This window comes from Homo sapiens, chromosome 8 (assembly GCF_000001405.40).
Source record: "Homo sapiens chromosome 8, GRCh38.p14 Primary Assembly".
NCBI classification, from domain to species: domain Eukaryota; kingdom Metazoa; phylum Chordata; class Mammalia; order Primates; family Hominidae; genus Homo; species Homo sapiens.
This window is the reverse complement of record NC_000008.11, coordinates 128,799,894-128,810,980: the sequence shown is the minus strand read 5'-3', so window position 1 is coordinate 128,810,980 and position 11,087 is coordinate 128,799,894. Positions and strand designations below refer to the sequence as shown.

Below are 11,087 nucleotides of genomic sequence, written 5' to 3'. Positions count from 1 at the left end.
ACAGTGACATGCTGGTAGAGTACTGGTTTCCCCCCAGAAAATTTAGAAACCAAGATCTGAGTGCTAAGTGTGCTAATTGCTATTGGAATGTCATTGCATATAGATTCTTTCAGAGATCATAGTTAGAAAAAAAATATATATGCATCTCATTTGCTCAAATGTTTATATCTCTTTCTGTTTCTATCTATCATCTGTCTATCTATCAATCATCTATCTGTATTAAAAACTATGAAGTCACACTAATACCTTAGATTTGAGTTTCATACCACAGAGTTTATTCTTGCCTTCCTCCTTTCTACATTGTCAATTCTTTCTGACAGTGAGAAACCTGGCTTTAATTATTTATAATGTGTTTACTTATTCACTTTGTCTTAGAGTATATGTAAAGTTTCAGTATTGGTAACTCATGCTATCTTTGTCTGTTCCTGCTGCTATATTAAAATACCTGAGCCTGGGTAATGTACAAAGAACAGACATTTATTTCTAATGGTTCTGGAAGCTGGAAGTCCAAGATGAAGGTGACAGCAGGTTTGGTGTCTGGTGAAGGCCTTGTCTTTGTTTCCAAAGATGTTTGGAAACCTTGTTGCTGTGCCCTCTGGAGGGAACAACCACTATGTCCTTACATGGAGGAAGGGACAGAAGGTCATAAAAAGGAACTGGGTGCTTCCTTCAACCTCCTTTATAAAGTTACTAATCCTATTCCTGAGGGATTAGTCATGACCTCATGACTTAACCATCCCCTAAAGGTGCTATCTCTGAATACTATCATATTGGTGATTAAATAACAACATATAATTTTGGGAGGCACATTCAGACCTTAGCATTTCACCCCTGAACCTCAAAATGTATGTCCTTTTCACATGCAAAATATATTCATCACATTCCAATAGCCCCAAAAGTCTTAACTCATTTCAGCACCAACTCGAAAGTCTAAAGTCCGGAGTCTCATCTGAATCAGACGTATGAGACTCAAGGTATGATTCAACCTGAGGGAAATTTCCCTGCACCTCTGAACCTGTGAAATCAGAAAGGTTATCTACTTCCACAATACAATGGTGAGACAGGCGTAGGATAGACATTCCCATTCCAAAAGAAAGAAATAGGAAAGCCGTTATTATAATTCTTATTTTCCTCTTGCCATTGTTTTGCCATGATTATTATGATTATTATTATTATTTGTATTGAAGCAGAGTCTATTTAACTTGACTTTACTATATTTATTGTCTTTATAACCCAAGGCATAGGGGCAGGGGGAAACTCCCAAAAGACATTCTTTTTTTGTGCCTTTACTCAAGGCAAGTCATTCCAAACATTTCTTAATGCATTTGGAAAGAGAATCAATAAGAACAGTGCCTCAAGTTAACTTTCATTGCCCTCCAGGACAGTTTCCAATCCCCTGGGCAGAAGTAATATCTTCTCTGAAGTCTGAGGCAGCACTTTGTCAGGGGAAGCACAAATGCTACTTGTGGAGGACAGAGTTATTTTGTTCTTTACTCTGAGTTTGCACTCTATGAAAACTCTGTGTTAACATCATTGGCAGAGAAATTCAATTTCCTCCCTCTGAGTGGGAAGGAACTTCTCTTGGAAGGAGTTTTCTTGCTTTATTTCCTACAATTAGAGCCTCTTTTCTACTTGACTTAAGGGTTTTTTGTTTTGTTTTGTTTTTCTAAACATTCAATTTCCTGGAAGTTCTAGGGATACAGTGGTGAACAAGAAGAATAAGACCTCTGCCCTCATTGAGCTTATACACTAGTAATTTTAAGGGTGCTTTCTCTCTTTCTCTGGGGTGCATTTCACTTAAATTTAAGCAAAAACTATGGGAGAAGTTTTATAAACAGTTCCTAGATTGAAATTTTAAATTAAAAAGCCAATGTTTGTTTGAAAGGTGCACTAGGAAAAGAAAGTTCCAAATATATTCCATAGGTAATTTTTGAATATGGCAAATATTACATTTTAAAATTAGTCAGGGTGAGAAATGTAACTGCTTTATATAGAATATATAAAGGTATCTGTTTACCTTTTAGCTGTATTTTCTTGTTAGATAAGCCAGGGAGCAAAGTACATAGAGGATCATGAATGGTTTGCAGTGATTCAATACAGCTTGTTCAACAGAGACATTCACATGACCAATTTTATCAATACATAAATATAATACCTGAGCAAGCTTAAAATATGCTGCTAAGGAAAAGTAGTGACATTGTCAGGGCTAGAGGATGCAAGAAAAATACAAGCACAAAATAATAAAAAACTGTTAAAGTTGGATACCAACTCAGAGTTCTAATCTACCTGTCCTATTGCAGAAGTTACTTCAACAGCTTCTACTTCACTGACAAAGAATATTCTAGATCCTGCTTGGCACAGCTATTGAGAGAATAAAATGTTGTGGCTGGGGGAGGGGTCTTATGTGTGCTGCTGCCCAAGGTCCTGAAAGTTGCTTTTGCTATAATATGTTTTGTTCTAGTAGTCCTGGGATAAAGGTGGCTCCTGTTCAATCTTGTTTCAGTAATCTTGAACCAAGTGGGAAAAGGGGAGTGTTAGGAGAGACAACGGGAAAGGGAGAAGAAAAGAGAGAATAAAGGGAAGGAGGACGGGACATAGCCTTTAAAGAATGTCAGAAAAAAATAGTCCTTGATTTCTCAATCATGTTCAAATAATAGCAGTAACCGACAAAGAAAATGTCTTTTATTTTTGATATAGTGGATGTGTTGGTTTGTTCAGGCTGTATAACAAAATACCATAGACTTGGTGGCTTATTTACAGCAGAGCTTTTTTTTCTCACATTTCTGGAACCTGTGTCTGGAACCTGGGAAGTCCAACTTCAAAGCACTGACACATTTGGTGTCTGATGATGTCCGGCTTTCTCATAGACGGCTACCTTCTTCTCACTGTTACCTCATATGGTGGAAGGTAAGAGATTACTCCGTGGTCTCTTTCATAAGGTTGGTAATCTCATTCTCTTATAACCTAATCACCTGCCAAAGGTCCCACCTCCTCTTACCATCACCTTAGGGATTAGGATTTTAAAATGAGAGTTTTTGGGGAAAATGAACATTCAATCCAGTGCATTTGATGATGCCGCAAATTGGATTTCCTGGGAAGTAGGTTGTCAGAGTTAGAGTAGGCATACAGAGTATTTTAAGTCATGTCCTTGGAATCAATACTTGTTGATGAGAAAGAAAAAAATATAGAATGGCAGAGGAAAAAGTCAAGCTGCAATAGAGTCTCAAAAGCCTAAGCTGACCAGATAAAATATGAAGGCACTAGAATAGACATCCAGAGTTCTTTAAGGTTGAGTGAGGCCTTTATAGTCCCACATTGTTCAGTCATTAAATCTAGGCTATCCTAAGAAGGAGTACGACCTTGAGTGAGGTGAATATAATCATGAACTGAGGCAGTTCATAAAAGGGCTTATTGCTGGGGCTACAGGTACTTCCCTAAAGGCAGATGTGGGTGGCCAATCCAATGTGCAGCACAGGGGTCACATGTCACATTATTTCTCAAGCTGTGTTTATGTGGAAGCATCCTACTTCCCAAGTCAACTTATGACAGCATTGCGCATCTGTTTTTTTATTTTTATTTATTTATTATTATTATTATTTATTTTTATTTTTATTATTATACGTTAAGTTTTTGGGTACATGTGCACAACGTACATGTTTGTTACATATGTATACATGTGCCATGTTGGTGTGCTGCACCCATTAACTCGTCATTTACATTAGGTATATCTCCTAATGCTGTCCCTCCCCCCTCCTCCCACCCCACAACAGTCCCCCGTGTGTGATGTTCCCATTCCTGTGTCCATGTGTTCTCATTGTTCAAATCCCACCTATGAGTGAGAACATGCGGTGTTTGGTTTTTTGTCCTTGCGATAGTTTGCTGAGAATGATGGTTTTCAACTTCATCCATGTCCCTACAAAGGACAAGAACTCATCATTTTTTATGGCTGCATAGTATTCCATGGTGTATATGTGCCATATTTTCTTAAACCAGTCTATCATTGTTGGACATTTGGGTTGGTTCCAAGTCTTTGCTATTGTGAATAGTGCCGCAATAAACATACGTGTGCATGTGTCTCTATAGCAGCATGATTTATAATCCTTTGGGTATATACCCAGTAATGGAATGGCTGGGTCAAATGGTATTTCTAGTTCTAGATCCCTGAGGAATCGCCACACCGACTTCCACAATGGTTGAACTAGTTTACAGTCCCACCAACAGTGTAAAAGTGTTCCTATTTCTCCACATCCTCTACAGCACCTGTCGTTTCCTGACTTTTTAATGATCGCCATTCTAACTGGTGTGAGATGGTATCTCATTGTGGTTTTGATTTGCATTTCTCTGATGGCCAGTGATGATGAGCATTTTTTCATGTGTTTTTTAGCTGCATAAATGTCTTCTTTTGAGAAGTGTCTGTTCATATCCTTCACCCACTTTTTGATGGGGTTGTTTGATTTTTTCTTGTAAATTTGTCTCAGTTCATTGTAGATTCTGGATATTAGCCCTTTGTCAGATGAGTAGCTTGCAAAAATTTTCTCCCATTTTGTAGGTTGCCTGTTCACTCTGATGGTAGTTTCTTTTGCTGTGCAGAAGCTCTTTAGTTTAATTAGATCCCATTTGTCAATTTTGGCTTTTGTTTCCATTGCTTTTGGTGTTTTAGACATGAAGTCCTTGCCCATGCCTATGCCCTGAATGGTAATGCCTAGGTTTTCTTCTAGGGTTTTTATGGTTTTAGGTCTAACATGTAAGTGTTTAATCCATCTTGAATTAATTTTTGTATAACGTGTAAGAAAGGGATCCAGTTTCAGCTTTCTACATATGGCTAGCCAGTTTTCCCAGCACCATTTATTAAATAGGGAATCCTTTCCCCATGGCTTGTTTTTCTCAGGTTTGTCAAAGATCAGATAGTTGTAGATACGTGGCATTATTTCTGAGGTCTCTGTTCTGTTCCATTGATCTATATCTCTGTTTTGGTACCAGTACCATGCTGTTTTGGTTACTGTAGCCTTGTAGTATAGTTTGAAGTCAGGTAGTGTGATGCCTCCAGCTTTGTTCTTTTGGCTTAGGATTGACTTGGTGATGCGGGCTCTTTTTTGGTTCCATATGAACTTTAAAGTAGTTTTTTCCAATTCTGTGAAGAAAGTCATTGGTAGCTTGATGGGGATGGCATTGAATCTGTAAATTACCTTGGGCAGTATGGCCATTTTCACAATATTGATTCTTCCTACCCATGAGCATGGAATGTTACTCCATTTGTTTGTATCCTCTTTTATTTCATTGAGCAGTGGTTTGTAGTTCTTCTTGAAGAGGTCCTTCACATACCTTGTAAGTTGGATTCCTAGGTATTTTATTCCCTTTGAAGCAATTGTGAATGGGAATTCACTCATGATTTGTCTCTCTGTTTGTCTGTTGTTGGTGTATAAGAATGCTTGTGATTTTTGTACATTAATTTTGTATCCTGAGATGTTGCTGAAGTTGCTTATCAGCTTAAGGAGATTTTGGGCTGAGACAATGGGGTTTTCTAGATACAGAGTCATGTCATCTGCAAACAGGGACAATTTGACTTCCTCTTTTCCTAATTGAATACCCTTTATTTCCTTCTCCTGCCTAATTGCCCTGGCCAGAACTTCCAACACTATGTTGAATAGGAGTGGTGAGAGAGGGCATCCCTGTCTTGTGCCAGTTTTCAAAGGGAATGCTTCCAGTTTTTGCCCATTCAGTATGATATTGGCTGTGGGTTTGTCATAGATAGCTCTTACTATTTTGAGATACGTCCCATCAATACCTAATTTATTGAGAGTTTTTAGCATGAAGGGTTGTTGAATTTTGTCAAAGGCCTTTTCTGCATCTATTGAGATAATCATGCGGTTTTTGTCTTTGGTTCTGTTTATATGCTGGATTACATTTATTGATTTTTGTATGTTGAACCAGCTTTGCATCCCAGGGATGAAGCCCACTTGATCATGGTGGATAAGCTTTTTGATGTGTTCCTGGATTCGGTTTGCCAGTATTTTATTGAGGATTTTTGCGTCAATATTCATCAAAGATATTGGTCTAAAATTCTCTTTTTTGGTTGTGTCTCTGCCCGGCTTTGGTATCAGGATGATGCTGGCCTCATAAAATGAGTTAGGGAGGATTCCCTCTTTTTCTATTGATTGGAATAGTTTCAGAATGAATGGTACCTGCTCCTCCTTGTACCTCTGGTAGAATTCGGCTGTGAATCCATCTGGTCCTGGACTTTTTTTTGTTGGTAAGCTATTAATTATTGCCTCAATTTCAGAGCCTGTTATTGGTCTATTCAGAGATTCAACTTCTACGTGGTTTAGTCTTGGAAAGGTGTATGTGTTGAGGAATTTATCCATTTCTTCTAGACTTTCTAGTTTATTTGCATAGAGGTGTTTATAGTATTCTCTGATGGTAGTTTGTATTTCTGTGGGATCAGTAGTGATATCCCCTTTGTCATTTTTTATCACGTCTATTTGATTCTTTTCTCTTTTCTTCTTTATTAGTCTTGCTAGCGGTCTATCAATTTTGTTGATCTTTTCAAAAAAACAGCTCCTGGATTCATTGATTTTTTTGAAGGGTTTTTTGTGTCTCTATTTCCTTTAGTTCCGCTCTGATTTTAGTTATTTCTTGCCTTCTGCTAGCTTTTGAATGTGTTTGTTCTTGCTTCTCTAGTTCTTTTAATTGTGATGTTAGGGTGTCAATTTTAGATCTGTCCTGCTTTCTCTTGTGGCATTTAGTGCTATAAATTTCCCTCTACACACTGCTTTGAATGCGTCCCAGAGATTCTGGTATGTTGTGTCTTTGTTCTCGTTGGTTTCAAAGAACAACTTTATTTCTGCCTTCATTTCATTATGTACCCAGTAGTCATTCAGGAGCAGATTGTTCAGTTTCCATGTAGTTGAGCGGTTTTGAGTGAGTTTCTTAATCCTGAATTCTAGTTTGATTGCACTGTGGTCTGAGAGATAGTTTGTTATAATCTCTGTTCTTTTACATTTGCTGAGGAGAGCTTTACTTCCAAGTATGTGGTCAATTTTGGAATAGGTGTGGTGTGGCGCTGAAAAGAATGTATATTCTGTTGATTTGGGGTAGAGAGTTCTGTAGATGTCTATTAGGTCCACTTGGTGCAGAGCTGAGTTCAGTTCCTGGATATCCTTGTTAACTTTCTGTCTCGTTGATCTATGTAATGTTGACAGTGGGGTGTTAAAGTCTCCCATTATTATTGTGTGGGAGTCTAAGTCTCTTTGTAGGTCACTCAGGAATTGCTTTATGAATCTGGGTGCTCCTGTATTGGGTGCATATATATTTAGGATAGTTAGTTCTTCTTGTTGAATTGATCCCTTTACCATTATGTAATGGCCTTCTTTGTCTCTTTTGATCTTTGTTGGTTTAAAGTCTATTTTATCCGAGACTAGGATTGCAACCCCTGCCTTTTTTTTGTTTTCCATTTGCTTGGTAGATCTTCCTCCATCCCTTTATTTTGAGCCTAGGTGTGTCTCTGCACATGAGATGGGTTTCCTGAATACAGCACACCGATGGGTCTTGAGTCTTTATCCAATTTGCCAGTCTGTGCCTTTTGATTGGAGCATTTAGCCCATTTATATTTAAGGTTAGTATTGTTATGTGTGAATTTGATCTTGTCATTATGATGTTAGCTGGTTATTTTGCTCATTAGTTGATGCAGTTTCTTCTTAGCCTTGATGGTCTTTACAATTTGGCATGATTTTGCAGCAGGTGGTATCGGTTGTTCCTTTCCATGTTTAGCGCTTCCTTCAGGAGCTCTTTTAGGGCAGGCCTGGTGGTGACAAAATCTCTCAGCATTTGCTTGCCCATAAAGGATTTTATTTCTCCTTCACTTATGAAGTTTAGTTAGGCTGGATATGAAATTCTGGGTTGAAAATTCTTTTCTTTAAGAATGTTGAATATTGGCCCCCACTCTCTTCTGGCTTGTAGCGTTTCTGCCGAGAGATCTGCTATTATTCTGTTGAGCTTCCTTTTGAGGGTAACCCGACCTTTCTCTCTGGCTGCCCTTAACATTTCTTCCTTCATTTCAACTTTGGTGACTCTGACAATTATGTGTCTTGGAGTTGCTCTTCTCGAGGAGTATCTTTGTGGTGTTCTCTGTATTTCCTGAATTTGAATGTCGGCCTGCCTTGCTAGATTGGGGAAGTTCTCCTGGATAATATCCTGCAGAGTGTTTTCCAACTTGGTTCCATTCTCCCCGTCACTTTCAGGTACACCAATCAGACATAGATTTGGTCTTTTCACATAGTCCCATATTTCTTGGAGGCTTTGTTCGTTTCTTTTTATTCTTTTTTCTCTAAACTTCTCTTCTCGCTTCATTTCATTCATTTTGTCTTCCATCACTGATACCCTTTCTTCCAGTTGATCGCATCAGTTACTGAGGCTTGTGCATTTGTCACGTAGTTCTCATGCAGTGGTTTTCAGCTCCATCAGGTCCTTTAAGGACTTCTCTGCCTTGATTATTCTAGTTATCCATTCGTCTAATTTTTTTTCAAAATTTTTAACTTCTTTGCCATTGGTTTGAACTTCCTCCTTTAGCTCGGAGTAGTTTGATCTTCTGAAGCCTTCCTCTCTCAACTTGTCAAAGTCATTCTCCATCCAGCTTTGTTCCGTTGCTGAAGAGCTGCATTCCTTTGGAGGAGGAGAGGCGCTCTGATTTTTAGAATTTCCGGTTTTTCTGCTCTCTTTTTTCCCTATCTTTGTGGTTTTATCTACCTTTGGTCTTTGATGATGGTGACGTACAGATGGGTTTTTGGTGTGTATGTCCTTTCTGTTAGTTTTCCTTCTAACAGTCAGGACCCTCAGCTGCAGGTCTGTTGGAGTTTACTGGAGGTCCACTCCAGACCCTGTTTGCCTGGGTATCAGCAGCTGAGGCTGCAGCACAGCAGATATTGGTGAACCACAAATGCTGCTGCCTGATCGTCCCTGTGAAAATTTTGTCTCAGAAGAGTACCTGGCCGTGTGAGGTGTCAGTCTGCCCCTACTTGGGGGTGCCTCCCAGTTAGGCTACTCGGGGGTCAGGGACCCACTTGAGGAGGCAGTCTGCCCATTCTCAGATCTCAAGCTGCGTGCTGGGAGAACCACTACTCTCTTCAAAGCTGTCAGACAGGGACATTTAAGTCTACAGAGGTTATTGCTGTCTTTTGTTTGTCTGTGCCCTGCCCCCAGAGGTGGAGTCTACAGAGGCAGACAGGCCTCCTTGAGCTACGTTGGGCTCCACCCCATTCGAGTTTCCCTTTGGCTTTGTTTACCTACTCAAGCCTGAGCAATGGCGGGCACCCCTCCCCCAGCCTCGCTGCCGCCTTGCAGTTTGATCTCAGACTGCTGTGCTAGCAATAAGCGAGGCTCTGTGGGCATAGGACCCTCTGAGCCATGTGTGGGATATAATCCCCTGGTGTGCCGTTTGTGAAGCCTGTTGGAAAAGCACAGTATTAGGGTGGGAGTGACCCGATTTTCCAGGTGCCGTCTGTCACCCCTTTCTTTGACTAGGAAAGGGAATTCCCTGACCCCTTGCGCTTCCCAGGTGATGCGATGCCTCACCCTGCTTTGTCTCACACACGGTGCGCTGCATCCACTGTCCTGCACCCACTGTCCGGCACTCCCCTGTGAGGTGAACCCTGTACCTCAGTTGGAAATGCAGAAATCACCCATCTTCTGTGTCGCTCACGCTGGGAGTTGCAGACTGGAGCTGTTCTTATTCGACCATCTTGGCTCCACCCCCACCCCCTCCACCCATGCATCTGTTTTTGTATGTACCTTTTATGTCAGGTTGAGTCCATAGTTTCCTCCTTCCGATTCCTCACTCATCATCTTCATATGACTAACCCCTAACTCATTTTCCATCCCATTTTTTATTCAAAAGAAGCTGCCGTGCTTCAGTATCGCCTCCAAATCTCTAAAATTTTCTTTTCCTCATGCACCATCTTTGACACTTTTTCAAAGTTTTTGAGGTGATGACCATTTTCAAGTCATCTTTTGTCTTATTTCCTTTCCTTTGGTTGTATTTTTTTTTTTTTTTTTTTTACCAAAACCCTTTATAAAAATGGTACCTGATGTTAAACTACCCATGAAAATGTCATCACAAAGACACCTGGAGCAGATTTTAGGTACTAAACAAATATTCTGGCATTGATTTGAACTGTATATATGAAGATGAGTACCAAAGAGTAAAGAGAGGAAAGAAGGGGGATCAATATAAAGATATCAAAAGAAGCAATCTAAAAATACACAATTTTAAGATTCAAGAATATTGAAAAATATTCAAGAATACTGTTTGGCAGAACAAAAGACAAAGCAAGTCTTTGTCAGCTGTCCGTTATTCTATCCAACAGAGTCCTTTAAAATAAAGCAATCTTGTTTTTATCACTCAGTCCATTCTGCAAGAAGTGAGCCTCCAACATCCGCACATTATTCTCTGTCTTGGTTCTGAACAGCTTGCTCTGCTATATGGCATTCCATCTCACAACAAGCTGCTCACTTCTAATTTTGTAACTCCTTGTCCACTTCTGGTCTCGCCTCTTACTTTGAATAAGTGAATTGGCACCACTTTGCCAGGTGAAACTACAGTTTTTCTCACCATTTTTATCCCTGGTGTGTAGGATGGTGTCTGGGGTCAAGGAAGGGCTTAATGTGTCTGGCTGATTGGGTGGTGCCATGGGTGGTTGCTGACAAACATCTGCATGGCCTGGTCTATACTTGGGACCCTCTGCCTCAGCCTCTCCCATGAGCATGTTACTTATCAAACCCATGTCACTCTTCCTAAGAAAGCCATGCCAAAACATTGAGCCCCTCTTTCTGTCTTTACAGAGAAAGTATCATCTGCCAGGATTCTCAGTCCTGGACAGCAAGCAGTTAACCCTGGGGAAGGGAGAAAGGAGAAGACAATGGAGGAATGGTCTTCATTTCCAGGGGCATCTGCTTCCCAAAATGAAACATTTGGAAGTTTTTTGAGGGCTCAAGAAGGGAGCTCTAAAATGCAACATGTGAAGTGAGGTTATTTAAATTCTGATCTAACTGTGTGGCCTATCTTCATGCCTGCATTAAAATTGTTCAGACTTTGA

The 11,087-nt window shown here is 40.0% G+C and overlaps 1 long non-coding RNA gene across 1 annotated transcript; it reads left to right on the top strand.

Annotated features, from left to right (window-relative positions):
- The first annotated feature begins 408 nt into the window (after nt 1-408).
- Nucleotides 409-11,087, top strand: LOC124902021 (uncharacterized). The gene is made up of 2 exons (XR_007061108.1): nt 409-2,907; nt 10,834-11,087. It is a non-coding gene; the product is annotated as an uncharacterized LOC124902021 (long non-coding RNA).